The following is a 16,872-nucleotide window of genomic DNA, read 5'->3' as shown; positions in this document are numbered from 1 at the left end:
TGAAGCATAACAGGTGGAAACCCAGAGGTATTGACAACAGGGTTTGTAGAAGGTGCAAGGGCCAGATCTTAATGCCCAACATTGGTTATGGGAGCAACAAAAACACAAAGCACCTGGGGCCTAGTGGCTTACAGAAGTTCCTGGTCTACAATGTCAGGGAGATGGAAGTGCTGCTGAAGTGCAACAGAGTTAAGGACAGCAGAGGCCACACCACGCTCAAGAGCTGGCACTGCCTATCCTTGGAGTGAGCTCTGTGCTGGAACGTAGCTTGTGCTGGTGCCAGGAGGGCACAGGAAGGAGTGTGAAGGTTGCTTGTTTGTTTGTGAGAGGAGACATCTAAGGAAACAGAATTGACTTTATCATCATCACTTCTTATCAGCTGTCAAAGATAACTGTGGGCCTCATGCGGTATGGGACCAAGTGACTGCTTTTCACCTATAATCTGGAAACACCCGTCAGGCCAGGAGAACCGGAAATGAGCCATGAAGAGAACGTTTGCCTGATGCACAGCCAGGATCGAGTCATTCTAAGAAGCTCTAATTTATTCTGCTTGAGAAATCCCCTGAGAAACTTCTCTTGGGAAGCCACAGTTGCCTCTGTTCCTGGCCCCACCTTTTCTCATCAGTGACTTTATCATCTCACCAAATGGAGGCACTCAGAAGGCAGACGAGTCAGACGGCTCTTACCCAGTGAAGGCCTTGCTGTCACTCTAAAATGGACTATGATGGGTGGGTGGGTGGGTGGGTGGGGTGAAGCTCTTGGCACAGCCCCTAATCCTCTCAAGGATGGATTTCTCTACAGGGCACGGGGAGCCAGTGAGCTGGAGGATGGGGGTGAAGCCACAGAAGGGGCAGCTTCAGCTGCTTCTGCCAGCCTCAGGATGACCACTTTTCTTGCTGGCCTGGCTAATTTTATGCACCCGCCTCTCACACCAGAGAAGTTGAGGTTGTTGGTTGGGGGAAAGAAGGGAGAAAAAAAAAACTGGTCCCTGAAATGGCTCTCACAGTCTGTATCTGGAAAGTACCAATGGCATTTTCTGCCAAAATGCTACCCAGCAGGTTTTAAATATCACACAAGCATGTCTCCACATCAGTGATACGTCTGAGTCTGCAGTGCTGGTCAGAGGCAGTTCAGCCCAACAGCAGGCACTGGGGCTGTCATGTTAACACTCATATCCCTGGTGCCTCCCACGGGGCTGGCACAGAGCTGGTAGTCAATAAAGATTTTCTAAATGATTTAATGAATGAAACAACAACAACAAAAAGCTATTCCTTAGAGAAGCCCAAATTTAATTGAATCAGTCAATAGAGCAACCTAGGGCATTGTTGAAAACAACAGGGAAATCAGCCAGCAATTTGTGGAGTTTAACAACATATGGCTGTGGTCAGGGAAAAAGACAATCAAAGAGAGCCCTGTCAAATCTGCTGCTAACCCAGGGTAACTGTGCATATGCCCAAGGCTGTGCCTCTGAGGAGCAACATCAGAGGCTTTAACTTGTGGGGACTGGAGGGTGGACTTCACAGCCAGTCACTAAACAAATAAACAATCAAGTATTACTAACAAGCCCCAGAGGAGAAGAGAACCCATCTCTACAGTTGCTGTATTATTTACAATGTCCCATTTCCAACAAAAAATTATGACATGTAAAGAAACAGGAAAATCTGACCCATATATGAGTGGAAAAGCAGGAAACACAAACTGAGAGCAACCAGCTATCAAATTTGACAAAGACTTCAAAGTAGTTATTATAAATATATTCAAATAACTAAAGGAAATCATGATTATAGTAAAGTAAACCATGATTAAAGTAGGGTAAAGGAAGGTGTGATGACAATGTTGAACTAAATAGAGACTATTGATATAGACTAAAGAGATGGAAATTCTTAAAAAGAACCAAATGGAAATCCTGGAGTTGAAAAGTAATAACTGGAATGACATTTTCACTAGATGGGCTCAAAAGATTTATTTGAACTGGCAAAAGAAAGAATTACCAAACTTGAAGATGGATCAATAGAGATTATGCAATTTGAAGAAAAGAGAAAAAGAAAGAATGAAGAAAAATGAACAGAATCTCAGGAAAATGTGGAACACCATTAAATGCATCAACATATGCATAATGAGAGTCCCAGAAGGAGAAAAGAAAAAGAAAAAAGCAGAAAAATTATTCAAAGACATAATAGCTGAAAACTTCCTAAATTTTATGAAAAACATTAATCTACACATCCAAGAAGTTCAACAAATTCCACATAGGATGAACACAAAGACATCCACAAACAGACGCATCAAAGGAAGTCACAACATGATCAACAGCTGACTTCTCATCAGAAACAATGGAGGCCAGAACACAGTGGACAACATTCAAAGTACTGAAAGAAAACAGCTGTCAGCAAAGAATCCTGTGTTCATTAAAGCTGTCTTTCAAAAATAAAGACATTCTCAGATCAACAAGAACAGAGAATCCATTGCTAGCAGACATGTCTTAGAAGAAATGCCAATATAAATTCTTATGACTGGGCCAGACACAGTGGCTCACACCTGTAATCCCAGCACTTTGGGAGGTCGAGGTGGGTGGATCACAAGGTCAGGAGTTTGGGACCAGCCTGGCTAACATGGTGAAACCTGGTCTCCACTAAAAATACAAAAATTAGCTGGGTGTGGTAGCATGAGCCTGTAATCCCAGCTACTCAGGAGGTTGAGGCAGGCGAATCGCTTGAATCTGGGAGGTGGAGGTTGCAGTGAGCCAAGATCATGCCACTGCACTCCAGCCTGGGTGACAGAGCTATTCTGTTTTTTTTTTTTTTTTTTTTTGTCTCAAAAAAAAAATTCTTATGACTGAAAGTAGGTAAGTCAATACCATAGTTCAAATCCACATGATAAACAAAGACCATGAGTATAGATAATTATATAATTATAAAAGACATTATAAAGACATATTTCTTTTCCTTTCTTAACTGATTTAAAAAGCAATTATATAAAACAATATGTACTTACTTGTACTGTTGAGCCTAACCATGTAGAAATGGAACATATTCATAAATAACAGCACAAAGGAAGTGGGTGGGAAAACAGCTGTATTGAGCTAAGGCAATAACTCCCTATGGTAACTCAATTTACAGGAACAAATGGAGAGAGCCAGAAATAGGAAATATGGAGGTTAGTATAACATAAGCTATAAATATATACTTGCCCTCCTTTCTTTCCTTGGCTTCTTTAAAAGACATAAAATTACATAAAGTAATAATATAACAATGTATTCCTGGGTTTATAACATATAAATGTAATATGTCTGACAATAATACCACAAAAAGGTGGGAAAGAGAATAGAACTATACAGGACTAAGTTTACTGGAACTTAATTAAATCTCACTGGAATTAAGTCAGTGTAAGTCTAAAGCAGATTCTGATACATGAAGATGTATATGGTGAGCCCTAGAATAGCCCCGGAGAAAAACCCTCCAAAAATTAGAGGGAATATTATTAAAGTAATTAAAATGTTGCATTGGAACATATTCGCTTAATGTAAAAGAAAGAAGTAAAGGAGGGATAGAAGATAGAAAAAGACATAAGACATATAGACAACAAAAAGTAATTCCAGCTCCTAGGAAAATTTGTAAAAAAAAATTTTTTTAAGTAAAATAATAGATGTAAAACTAACTATATCAATAGTAATATTATGTGTTAATGGATTAAACAATCCAATCAAAATGTAGAAATTGTCAAACTGGATTTTAAAAACAGGATCCAACTACATGCTGCCTGCAGAAGACACACTCTAGACACAAAGATAGAAATGGTTGAAAGCATTTGCTGCCTGGTAAGCAGAGAAACCCAGAGAAACAGGCTGCCTCCACCTTGGTTCCTCTCAATATCCTTCACCACATCTTTTGCCATATAAGGTGACATTGACAGGTTTCAAGGGTTTAAAGTGGATGTCTTCTAGGGTGTTATATGTTGGATTAGCGCAGACGTTGATAGCATCAGTCACTGTCCATCCATTGCCTAAGCCAATATATTCCTTGTCATTAAAATGGGCCAGAGAGAGGAAGGCAGGGGTAGAGACCTTTCAGTTCTGACCTCTAAAATTCTCTCTTGAGGAATGCAGAAACAGGACTTCCACATTTTTTCTATCACATTTCTCTTGTGCTACCCCCACCTTACCTCATTTATGAGCCAACACATATTCATTGAGTATCTCCCCCACAACTCCATATTTCTTTTACAACTGAGCAATTAAATGGATAAAATTCTAAAATTTCCTATTTGGAATGAGACTAAGGACAGTGTATTAGTTGCCTAAGGCTGCCACAACAAATCACCACAAACTGAGTGGTTTAAAACAACAGCAATGTATTCTCTCACAGTCCTGGGGCCCAGACGTCTGAAATGAAGCTGTTCGCAGGTCCATGTCCCCCAACACTCAGAATAGAGCCCTTCTTGCCTTTTCCTAGTTTCCACTGCTGGCCATCAATGCTTAGTGTTTCTTAGCTTGTAGCTGCAACCACTCCTCACTCCAGTCTCCACCTCTGTCTTCACATGGGGATCTGCCTGTGTGTCTCAAAATCTCTCTGTTCTTAAGAGGACACCGATCATTGAATTAGGGCCCACCGAATTCAGTATGACCCCATCTCAATTTTGTTCTACCTGCAAAGATTCTATTTCCAAATAAGGTCACATTCACAGGTACAGGGGGTTAGGATTTCAACATATCTTTTGGAGGAACACCATTTAACTCACCAGCAGCAGGAGAGTGAAAGAGCGGTGATCTTTAACTGAACATTCACTGTTACATGCATTTTCGTATGAAATCCTCCATGGCATAGGGATTATCATCTTTGATTGATAGATGAGGAAATCGAGCCTTAAAGAGGTCGAGTGATCATCTCAAGTCACGCAACTTGTAAGTGGCATAAATAAGATTCCACCCCAAACCTGCCTTCTTCCAAATCTGGATGACACTTACACCCAATCTGGCTGTCTCATATCACCCAGCCCACCCGTGCATTCTGCAGACTACAGAGCTCTTAACACCCCTGAGAAGGGCAAATGCATGCCCTTGTCTCCCAGCAAGTCTCTGGCAAAGCTAAGGCCAGAAGTTGCATCTCCCAAGCCCCGGTCCAAAGCACGTTCGATCACTGTGCCTAGATAGTATCCACAGAAGAGGCTCCTCAATTCCTGTGAGCGTGTTTGTGACAAGTGGAATTCTGTTTCCCACTGCGAGCAGGACCAGGGGTTAAGAAGTGGCTCTGTGATTCACGGAGACCTGAGTGGCTGCCCGGAGGACACCAAAACAGGAGATGGTCTAGAGGAGATGCATAGCTGGAAGCTGAGCTGGCATGTGATGAGGCGCCAGGCACTTAGGGCAGGAATTCAGCACCCCTCTCTCAGGGCACCTCTCCCAGAAGGAATGAGCTGGCGAGCCCGAGGATGGCCCCTCTGGGGGATGGCTTCTATGCAGCAACAAGAGCCTCAGAGGCCCCAGTCAGGTGGGCCTGAGCCCCGAGCTTCCTGTGTCCCGCAGGCCCCTAGGCCGTGGCATGGGGTGGGCTGAACCAGGGCCTGGAAACCCACAGGAGTGGTTTGGACCTTGGCTCAGGCATCTGCCAGCTTTGTGCTGCTGGGCACATTCCAGCCCAGAGACAGGGATCAAGGATCCCTCACGGGCTTTGGTTTGGGGGATAAACTAAATGAGATCGAGCATTAAAGCCCTGAGCCAGGGCCAGGGGGAGCAGCATCGTCTCTCTGTGGCTGATTGGAGGTGGTAGATGGGAATGCTGAGTCCCCAGCTCGCTCCTTTCAGAGCTTTCCAGGCACACAGCAGGCCCAGTGCCAGAGGCAGGCCCTTAGCTGGGCCTGGCCTGTGCCACAGCCTTGCAGGGATGGCTGAGGGAACAGTAGGCCAGAGCTAGTATTCCTGAGCCCCCACAATAGGTACCCCTCTGCCCAGCCACACACCCAGTTGCCCTATTTTGTCAGTTTTCTATTTCCTCAAGCGACCCTTTTGCTGGATCAAGGGCATATTGAAGGGTATGGTCAACCCCTCTGCCACTGCCTCGCTGTGTGAGCCTGGGAAAAACCCCTCCCCGCTCTGGTGAACACAATGGTGGCTGACAGCCCCTGTAGACAACATTTTCTGATTCTGCACACAGGTTTTCCAAAACACAGCCCTGCTCTTATCATTCTTCATAACAATCTGTTTAATGTCTCCCTTCTTCCCGAGCACTCTTGGTTCCACAGGAGCAGAGACTGTGCTTATCTCTTCCTCTCTTATACCCCTGGCATCCAGCATGTGGCAGATGCTCTATAAATCTTTGCCTACTGACATCCTCCCAACTCAGGGCTCATCGGGGCCACAGGGCAAGAATGTTGATTATCTACTGCATGCCAACAAGTGAACTGAGGATTTCCCCATGTGGTATCTTCGTTAATCTTCATAACTGTGAAAGTTAGGGATTATTATCCTCACTGGGGCCAAGGATGGAGCCCAGGTGCCCTACTAGGAACTATCCTATAGTCTCCATATGACAGAATTCCAGAATGAAGGAGCAGAAGCAGATCCTAAAGGCAGCTTCACCTCCCCAGCCTGTAAAAGGCAAAATGCCAAGAGGTGGCATCTCAGGAGAGGCCGGGAAAGGAAGGCATTAACTCATCTTGAGTGCTGCAACATGTTAGGTGGAGTTCCTGGTGCTTCATAGTCGTTACCTGGTGTAATTCTTACACAGAGCCTGGGAGGCATGACCTTGTTATCACCATTACAGAAGAGGAAACAGGCTCAGAGAGGTTAAAAACTTGCTCCAAGTCTCTCAGCTATGGGCAGCAGGGAAGGGTTAGAACCTGGGTCGGTCTGACTCCTAAACCCTAGCCCCTTCCACCTCTGCAGACTCCACACTTGAAATTTGTTGTGGACTAAATCGTGTGCCCCCAAAAATCATACGCTGAAGTCCTAGCCCCCCTCCCCCACCATGTGGCTGTATTGGAAATATGGCCTTTAAGAAGAGATGAAGGTCAAGTAAGGTCATAAGGGGTGGAACCCTCATGGGGTAGAACTGTTGTCCTTATAAGAAGCAAAGTCAGGCCGGGCACGGTGGCTCATGCCTGTAGTCTCAGCACTTTGGGAGGCCAAGGCAGGCAGATCACTTGAGGTCAGGAGTTCAAGACCAGCCTGGCCAACATGGTGAAACCCTGTCTCTACTAAAAACACACACACAAAAAAAAAATTTGCCAGGCATGGTGGCACACACCTATAATCCCAGCTACTTGGGAGGCTGAGGCAGGAGAATCACTTGAACCCAGTGAGCCAAGATCGCGCCACTGCACTACAGCCTGGGCAACAGAACGAAACTCTGTCTCAAAAAAAAAAAAAAAAAAAAAAAAAAAAAGAAGCGAAGTCAGAGCTCTCTGATGTGGCTGTGTGAGCACACAGCAAGAAGACAGCTATCCAGGAGTCAGGAAGAGGACCCTTTTCAGAACCCAGCTGTGCTGGCAGCCCAATCTCAGACTTCCAGCCTCCAGAACTGTAAGAAAATACATTTATATTATTTAAGCCACTCATCTGGTTAGGGCAGCAAACAAAGATTTTTTTCAAACACCAAATAGCTCAGCATTGAATGGAACAAGCTTTTATGAACTCCTTTCCCCATTCCTCATTCTTTTAGAGAAAAAGTAGCTTTAATATCCCCCAAGGACATTATAGCATTTGCAGAGAACTGGGAACTACTGCTGATTGATTTAACTTCCTCAGCAAGAATTGATGACCCCATGAGTGCTCCCCAGGAGCTTCCAGAATCCCTGAAAGTGATTTTTCCCTGGTCTGAAGACTCTACCTTATAAATTCGCTGACCGTCATCACCCCTCTTTCTGGATGGCAACTGTCTGGTTTTCTCTGGGAAGCATCTGTTCTGCGAAAAAGACCTCATATCTTCTCAGTTAATACAGAGTGTTCACACATATGTGATCTGCTCCACAATACTGAGGACAGAGTTGTCTTCTTCCCAGTTTCACGGATAGGGAAGCTTTGGGGTGGGGGCAGTGTTACCTGACTAAGGAGGCTTTGGGGCGGGAGTAGTGTTCAGCTGACTTGCTCAGGAAGAGCGTTCTTGAACTCTGTTCCTGGTCTCTGATCCCCTGTCAATGTCACAGCTAAATGCTCTCATTTTGCACAATAAGTGTGTGCATTGGAATAAATTGTGTTAAATAAGTGAATCAACTCATGGGCAAACAATTAAATGCAAAATGACAACTCAATAATTAGAGCTATTTGAACATCAGCCAGAGAGAACTAACACAAAAATAAACAGGAGGAGGAGAGGGAAGAGGGAGGAACAAAGGAGAGAAGAAGTGCACCTGTGGTTCCTAGTGGTCACTGTTCGATTAGATTCTACTTCCCCATCATGTGCTGGGCACCGGGCTGGGCACTGAGACTCAGAGGTGACTCAGCAGAAGTCCCCCAGGGACCCACTCGCTTTGTCATAGCTCCTCTACACCGTGTCGACCTGCCAGAAACTGGCAGTGAGGGATGAACTTGTCTCTGGGGCTAAGCCATGCTGGTTTTTTCACCATCACACACGATAGGACTCCAAGGTCTTCCAGCGTTCTGATCACACCCTCCGTGAGACACGCTGAGTTTGCCGGTGATCTCCAATGCAGGGTGCTTCATCATTTATAAGATGCTTCCACATTCCATGTCTCATATGTGCCTCGAAATCCCTCTGAGAAGAAGGTACTGTAACCAGCTCCATCTTGTAGAAGAGGTAAATTTACCCTCAGAGGGGCAAATAACTTGCCCAACGTCAAGTAACTAATAAGAGACCAAGCCAAGACCTGAACTCAGGTCTTCATAGCTCCAAATCTAGCTTTTCACCCTTCCCAGTTGCCTCTAGGTCCCGTGCCAGACACCTCATTTATGCACACATACATATGTCTAACTTGGCACATAGAGGCCAGACAAATTTGGAACTGGGTACAATTCAAATTCGTGGGTACAATTCAAATTCGCCTTGACTCTGACTGTGTGAGCAATGTGTGCCCTTTGAAGGAAACTATTTGCACCTGTTTCCGAGAGAGATCTGAAATGGGTGAAGTAATGCCTATGGATGAGACTTGTAAATTGCTGAGCCACGCAAACATGGGTTAATGCCAAGGTCGAGGCTGCTCTGTGTCTGCTAGCCAGCAGGAAATAGAACTGGGGCACAGATAATGCCACAAGACCTCCTAGGACTCTCTCCAGACTGCCCAGCTGACAGTCCCCCACCCCGGCCCCTTCCACATCTTCACCATATCCTAAAGCCACCATGCCTCCATCAACAAAAATATAGTTTAAAATACATTTGATGACTCTCAGTAAAGAACAGAACGGCGCATGGCGCCCTGGCATCTTAGCAGGTGTAGGTTCTGCCAAAGGAAGCCCTTGTGGCTTTCAGCAGCATTGCACACTTCTTCAAAAGTGAAAACTGAATCTCACCTTCTCGGTAGACACTAAACCAGAAAGCGAGTTTCAGATCTATATTTTGAAGTGTTTCGTGAAGCACTCCACTGGAAATAGAGATGCCTTTGCTTTTTACCAAATGCACAGAGTAGCCGGTTTCTAAGCTCTGGAGGTGATCCTGTTTTTTTCAGGGATGTGGTTCCAAGGGGTAACATTGAGCTTTATAAGGAATTCTCTTACAAATGTTGTTTTCCCAATAACTAATGGTCCCATTCAAACCTGAGTACATTGCCTTTTAAATTTCTAAGTGGTTTAATAATAGAACCGCTCCATTAACTCTGACACATGCTTGGGAATCAAGCAAAGAAATGAAGAGACGGCTGGAAAAACAAGCAACCGCAGCCGTGTGCGCTCCTGAGTCCTAAATGCTAGCGAGCTCAGCGGCTGAGATTTTATATCAAAAAGCCATGACCGGGAGCTCTTTGTCTGTGTGGGTCACAGAAGGATCGTCCTAACTTCTCTGCTCCTCCCAAGCCAGCCCCCTCCTTCCCTACAGAAAGGCCATCCTCCACTCCCTCCCGTCACCGCACCCACTATCTCCTGCTTTCTTCCCCTAAGAGTTCAGGCGTCCCTCCTGCTGTTTCAAACACTCCCTGGCCTGGCTACTATGAGGGACTGCAGTTTATTCACCAAGAACAGCTCTAGCTTCACTTCATTCCTCTCTCCTTCTGGAAAAGATTTAAGACCACAATTCACAGAATTAGCCCTGCTTTCCGATAGAATCCAATCCAAGGAGGAAAGCTCCGCATCCTTAAAACCTCTTCCAAATCCCCTAATGCAGCCCAAGTGAGCAGGTCCTTCCTGAACCCCTCTCCTGAGACACCCCAGGGCCTTGCGCAGTGTGCTCCCTTCCTGGTTGCAATGAGCCCAGGGTTGTTCAGATGCTGGTCTGTGGCTTGAGCTGAAGGGCACTGACCACATCCTCATTTGTTTACAGAAGGGGTTTCGTGTGTGTGTGCGCGTGTGTGTGTGTGTTTGTGTGGGTGTGTGTATGTGTTTTCTTTACTTCTTCTTTTTTTTTTTTGACACAGGGTCTCGCTCTGTATCCAGGCTGAAGTGCAGTGTCGTTAACACAGCTGACTCACTGCAACCACCACCTCTCAGGCTCAAGCGATCCTCCCACCTCAGCCTCCCAAGTAGCTGGAACTATAGACACGCACCACCACACCCACCCAGCCAATTTTTTGGTTTTTTGTAGAGATGGGGTAGTGTCATGTTGCCCAGGTTGGTCTCAAATTCCTGGACTCAAGTGATCCTCCCACCTCGGCCTCCCAAAGTGCTGGAATTACAGACATAAGCCATGGTGCCCAATCCAGAAGGGATTTCATACATGCTTTTTGTAATGGAGTCTCACACCTATTATGACGATAGTGAGATTATTTTCATGTCTATAATGAACCACATTATCATCCCTCTAAACGCCTCCTCTCCTGGTAGGCTTTCCTGAACTACGTCTCTGCCACTTTCCTGCACGTAATCCTCTTCTTGATGCTTCTCTGATCCCCAAAGGAGAGCACCTGCAGGTTTCTGCTCTTGGTTTTTCTCTGTACATCGTCTCCCTCAGTTACTTCATCCCTGCCTATCTTATCCTCTCCCTTCCATGTGAAGAACTTCCACACCAGGGCTCCAGCCCTGACCTCTTCCAGCCACCTGCTGGACACCTGCTCCCTAACCCCGGTGTCCTGCCAGCATGTCAGCGTCAGCAGTCACACCAAGCCTGTCACCTCCCCGCACAGAGCTGACTGCACCTGACCCCCTCGTCCCTGCTCACAGCCTGCCCTCCCAGACCCTGAAGGACCAGAAGCAGGGGTGCCACCCCGGAGTCTCCCTCCCTCTGGCCTGCACATCCAGTCAGCACCATGACCCGCATCGATTTCTACAGGCACAGCTCATGCCAAGAGAAGCCGGGAATGCAGAGGCCCAGGGCGGGAGATCATGGTGGCTCTTCGTTTTGCTTGCACTGAGAAACTAAAAACCCAGAGAGGAGTGATAACATGACCTGGGTCCATCCACTGGGGGAGACCAAGCCAGGACTGGCCCCGTGTGTTCAAGCTGCCTTCCTCTTCCCCGCCAGGCAGCGCCTCCTGCATCCCTCAGGACCCTCATGGACCTACCGCAGCCACCTCCCAGCCGGCCTCCCTGCTCCACTCTCCTTTAGCCACCTGCCTCCCGCGGCCAGCAGCACAGCTCACTCCCCAGTCTGAAGCCATCAGTGTCTTCCCAGTCACTGCAGGTCACACAGAGACCCCCATCTTCTCCCGGCCCGGGCCCTCAGGAGCCACAGTCACTCTATCCTCCCACAGCTTCCCACATAAACTTCCAAACGGGCTGCACAGGGACGCTGGGGCCCACCTGCTTCTTGCCTCCTCTGGTCTGAGGTCCTTTCTATTCCACTAGCCAGTCAGCGTCTGCCTGCCCTCTGTCCCCTCCCACACACAGGGGCCGCTCCTCTCCCATGGCACAGTGTGGGCTCCTGTCCACAGCACCGGGCCCTAGGCCGCCAGGGCTCTCTCTGGCTGTGTGGGCTCTGCTGGGCTTGGGGCTCTGCGGGTGGGAGACCCATCGAGTGAGCTTTCCCTCCGAGCCCAGTGCTTAGCATGCACCAGGCCCTTAGGAAAGGTGGAGGGAGAGAATGAGGCGGCCCTCCTTTTTAGAGCACATTAACAAAACCCCCCAAATGGTGGCAATGATCGTTGTCTATACCATGGAGGCTTTCCGTTGACAGAGTTCCAAAACAAGCCTGGTCTCTGAAGATGCTGAGAGGAGCGGTACTTGCTCTTTGACTATAAGAACCGAAGCTAAGGACCTTCTAAAGAGAGTCATCAGGGTCCCTCACAAATAGGGGTACGAATACCTCCCATAGGGACTACGAAGAATTCATGAAACGGCCCTGCTTTCAGGGACTTCCCCACCATGCCCCCGACCATGTAAAGACTGCACTGGGGAGGGGCAGTAAGGGACAAGTGTGCAGCACCAGGGAGCTCACAGCCCAACAGGACAGGGGGACACAGGAAGGCAGAGCTCACAGCCCAACAGGATAGGGGGACACAGGAAAACAGAGCTCACAGCCCAACAATACAGAGAGAGACAGGCAAGCAGAGGCCTGCCACAAGCACAAGCCCACAGGCAAAATCCAAGGGGCCCCATGCAGATGTGCTGGATGGAGGCGGCCTGGCTTTGATGGGGAGGTGACCTTTCAGAGCTGAGCCCCAGAGCTTTGCATCCTTGCACTTAACCATCATCAGCCACATACCATCGAATAGTTGATATCACACAAAAAGACACCAGTTGGGGGGGGGCATTTCCTCCTGATAATTACTTTTCTTACAGAGAAACATCTTTCCCAGAAGTAATGGCCTCTGCAGATTTACTCCAACCTCTATTGGCTGGAATTAGGTCACATATCGACATTTTGACAACCACTAGCAAAAGGCATAGAATTACCATTATGACTAATCAACCTGCACACCCTAGGGCAGGAGAAGGTCTCAAGCATCATCTAGACCCCCCACAACTGAAGAGAATTGGGGTTCTGTTGGGAAGGAATAGGGTGGAGGGCAGTGGCCGTGGCAGCTACCAAGGGACACCCTTTGCCCCACACCCTCCACTTGCCATAGAGGACTGTGGGGCCAGCACAGCCTCTCCCAGGCTGGAACAAAATGCCAGCGGTGAGAGGCAATGTCCCAGTGTAGGAGGGGTTCTGACTGATGCCTCAGAAAGTCTGGGTGCTCCTTCTAGTTCTGATACCTGCCAGTCATCTGACGTTGGCCGGTCACTTGCCCGGGTCTGTTTTCTCACCTGTAAAATGGAGATTGTAATCTTTCACCCACCTACGGTAAAGATCAGATGAGGAAACAAGTTGTGTGTGCTTTGTATAACCTTATTGGGTGTAAAGTGACTTCCTTTTCCTCCCCTCAAAACAGGGTAAAAAAAAATGATTGTGATATGGAATGCAGTTTGCTGGCTGGCACCAATGGAGGCTATTTTGGGATGAGTGGTAACTAAGAAACATGAGGCACTGGTAACCTTGGCAACCATAGGTAAGGCAGGATCCCGGTGCCCCGGCTTTCTGTATTCCACTCTTATCTCCAAATCTAAAGGCTCACTCTCTGGTGATTTGTCAGGCATGGCATCTCCTAGGGCCCAGGAACGCCTGGTGTTGGCCTGGCTAAACTCTTGGACGAAAAGGTCTGCACAGGCTCCGAGGGACAGGCAGCTCCTTGCCTCTGATGTCGCCATGGGGAAGTGCAGGGTGGCCTCCTCAGGAACCCGCTTTCTGCCTTCCTCCTGTCTTGGCCCTTGGCAACATGGCAGCCTCCTCACTCCTGCTGTCCAAGGTACAAACACCGCATACAGAAATCAGGCTTGTATTCAGTAGAGTCTAGTTAGCAATTACAGTGGGCCCCTCTTATCCCTGGGGGCTACCTTCTAAGACCCCCAGGATGCCTGAAACTGCAGACTGCACTGAATCCTCTATATGTTTTTTCTTATACATATATACATACATAGCTATGATAAGATTTAATTCATAAATTAGGCACAGCAAGAGAACTAACAACAATAACTAATAATAAAATAGAACAAGGATGGCCACATGTGGCATCACTACTCTTGCACTTGACACTAGTAAGTAAAATCGGGGTTATTTGAACACAAGCTCTGCAATCCCACGACAGCACATCCATCACCCAGAGAGCTACTAAGTGACTCACGGCCAGGGAGTGTCTACGGTGTGGAGACGCTGGACACGGGGAGGAATCCCACCCTAGGGAGCCATAGTGGGAAGGCACAAGACTTCACCACACTCCTCAGACCGTGTGCAATTCAAAACTTATGAACTATTCATTTCCGGAATTACGCATTGAATATTTCAAGCCTCAGTTGACCAGGGGTAACTGAACCTGCAGAAAGCAAAAGCTCAGATAAGCGGGGACCTCTGTACAAGCACAAAAGCAGTTACAAGCAAGGCAGGTCTGCCCAGGAAGACGCAATAATGATATTCCCTTATAAACTCAAAGTGTTTAAACCGTTGTTTCTATTGAGCAGATATAGAAGAAATTAGTAGATATAGATAGATACAGGATATTTATAAGCAGTGCGTAGGGTGTCAAGACCACTAGTGCTACAAATACCGACAGCCCCACGGCCCTGCTTAAGAACCAGGACACAGCAGGTACCTTTGCAGCCACCTCTATGCCTTGATCATGAATTTCATAAGTCGTGTGATTACATTTCCTTGCTGTACTTCATAGTTTTATCATGTTTGTACCACTGAAGATGTATTTAGTTTTGCAGAGTTTTGAACTTTACACAAATGATATAGACTCATTCTTCTCCTACTGCTTTTTTTTTTTTTTTTTTTTTTTTTGCTCAACTGTATATTCTGGGTTTATTCTTCTTCGTGCACGTATTTGGAGTGGCTTTGATTTCACTGCTTTGTAGCATTCCATTATGTAAATATCAGTACTTACTATGTAAATATGTAACTATACAGGAACTTATTTATCCCTTCGCTGCCAATGAACATTTGGGTGGTTTCCAATCTTAGGCCACCAGGAGCAATGCTGCTATGAGCATTCTTCGTAAGACTTTCTCTCTAGGCTCCATACCGAGGAGTGGAACTGCTAGGTACTAAGATACGGGCATCTTAAGCTTTACTAGGTAATGCCAGAGTATTTGTGCCCATTTACATTCCCACCAGCAATGGACAGATTCACAGAGTCTCTTCATGTCTCTTTTTTTTTGAAACAGGGTTTCACGCCTTCACCCAGGCTGGAGTGCAGTGGCACGATCACATCTCACCACAGTCTCAGCTTCCTGGGCTCAGGTGATTCTCCCTGAGAATACAGTTGGGAGGAAAAACAGGACAAAAGTAAAATGTGCTGGGCCGGGTGTGGTCACTCACACCTATAATCCCAGTACTTTGGGAGGCTGAGGCAGGAGGATTACTTGAGCCTAGGAGTTTGAGACCAGCATGGGCAACAGAGAGTGAGACCCCATCTCTATCTTTTGTTTTTAAAGTAAAATGTGCAGTAATACTCCAGCAGCAGTCAATTTAAAAATATTTAAAATGCCATTTATAGTATCATAAATATATGCGTAGTGATAGATACATATTTAAAAGTATGCAACCCCAAGGTAGATAAAATGACTCAATTTTTACTGAAAAACATGAAAGAAGACCTAAGTAAGTGGCAAGGTATATCAGGTTCCCTAATTCAAAATATTCTAAGTCATGTAGATGTTAATTCTTTCCAAACCAACCTACACATACAATTCGACACTATTCAAAGCCCCAACAATGTTGTGTGTGTGTGTGTGGAATCTGACAAGCTGATAAGCAAATGGATCTGGAAGAGCAATTGGCCACGTATAGCCAAAATACTACAGAAGAACCAGGTCGGGGAACTAGCCCTGCAGGGGAGCAGTACTTAGTAACAAGTTACAGTAATTAAGATACTTTGGTATTGGGAAGGGATATAAAAATAAACCAGTGGAACAAAATATAGGCCCAGAAACAGACGAGGCATACACAGAAACTTGATTTATGACAAAACAGTCTGTGTGGACTAGTGGGGGAAAGTACTTTTTATGAATGATATTGAAATAAAAATAATCATACAGAAAAAAAAATAAAATGGGATTCTTCCTCATGCCATTTACCAAAATCAATTCTAGGCAGGTTAAAGACCTGTTTATGAAAAGCAAAATTGTAAAACTTTAAGAAGATAATGTAGTTTTTATCTTTATGACTTCGGGTTAAGAAACTCTGAAGACACAAAGAAGTACAAATCATAAAGGGAAAGATGGATAAATTTGATAACATTAAAATTAAGAATTTTTGTTCATTAAAGAAACATGAGTGGCTGGGCTCAGTGGCTCACATCTGTAGTCCCAGCACTTTGGGAGGCCAAGGCAGGAAGATTGCTTGAGCCCAGGAGTTCGAGAGCAGCCTGACCAATATGGTGAAACTCTGTCTCTACTGAAAAAATACATATATATAAACTAGCCAGGGGGCCAGGCGCAGTGGCTCACAGCCTGTAATCCCAGCTGTAATCCCAGCACTTTGGGAGGGTGAGGCGGGCCGGTCACCTGAGGTCAAGAGTTCGAGGCCAGCCTGGCCAACATGGTGAAACCCTGTCTCTACTAAAAATATAAAAATTAGCCAGGCATGGTGGCACATGCCTGTAATCCCAGCTACTCTGGAGGCTGAGGCACAAGAATCACTTGAACCCGCAAGGCAGAGGTTGCAGTGAACTGACATCGCACCATTGCACTCCAGCCTGGGTGACAGAGTGAAACTCCATCTCAAAAACAAAACAAAACAAAACTGGGGACTACTTAAACAGAGGAGAACTGGTGAACTCTAAATAGAATAGGCTCTTCCACCA

General features: G+C 46.3%; 5 annotated features.

Annotated features, from left to right (window-relative positions):
* Positions 365-624: an enhancer, noted in NCBI's record as "active region_15314". NCBI's record gives its function as "activates an Ori minimal core promoter by ATAC-STARR-seq in GM12878 lymphoblastoid cells {active_cell/tissue: GM12878}" and the evidence as "EXISTENCE:reporter gene assay evidence [ECO:0000049][PMID:35858748]".
* Positions 9,349-9,518: a silencer, noted in NCBI's record as "silent region_11168". NCBI's record gives its function as "represses an Ori minimal core promoter by ATAC-STARR-seq in GM12878 lymphoblastoid cells {active_cell/tissue: GM12878}" and the evidence as "EXISTENCE:reporter gene assay evidence [ECO:0000049][PMID:35858748]".
* Positions 10,549-10,598: a silencer, noted in NCBI's record as "silent region_11167". NCBI's record gives its function as "represses an Ori minimal core promoter by ATAC-STARR-seq in GM12878 lymphoblastoid cells {active_cell/tissue: GM12878}" and the evidence as "EXISTENCE:reporter gene assay evidence [ECO:0000049][PMID:35858748]".
* Positions 12,091-12,592: an enhancer, noted in NCBI's record as "H3K4me1 hESC enhancer chr2:11002015-11002516 (GRCh37/hg19 assembly coordinates)". NCBI's record gives its function as "activates a minimal SCP1, AML or CMV promoter by ChIP-STARR-seq in naive H9 embryonic stem cells {active_cell/tissue: H9 hESC(naive)}" and the evidence as "EXISTENCE:reporter gene assay evidence [ECO:0000049][PMID:30033119]".
* Positions 12,593-13,094: an enhancer, noted in NCBI's record as "H3K4me1 hESC enhancer chr2:11001513-11002014 (GRCh37/hg19 assembly coordinates)". NCBI's record gives its function as "activates a minimal SCP1, AML or CMV promoter by ChIP-STARR-seq in naive H9 embryonic stem cells {active_cell/tissue: H9 hESC(naive)}" and the evidence as "EXISTENCE:reporter gene assay evidence [ECO:0000049][PMID:30033119]".

Source organism: Homo sapiens, chromosome 2 (assembly GCF_000001405.40).
Source record: "Homo sapiens chromosome 2, GRCh38.p14 Primary Assembly".
Classification (NCBI taxonomy): Eukaryota; Metazoa; Chordata; class Mammalia; order Primates; family Hominidae; genus Homo; species Homo sapiens.
Note: the sequence above shows the minus strand (reverse complement) of the source record. Positions and strands in the feature narration are given on the sequence as shown.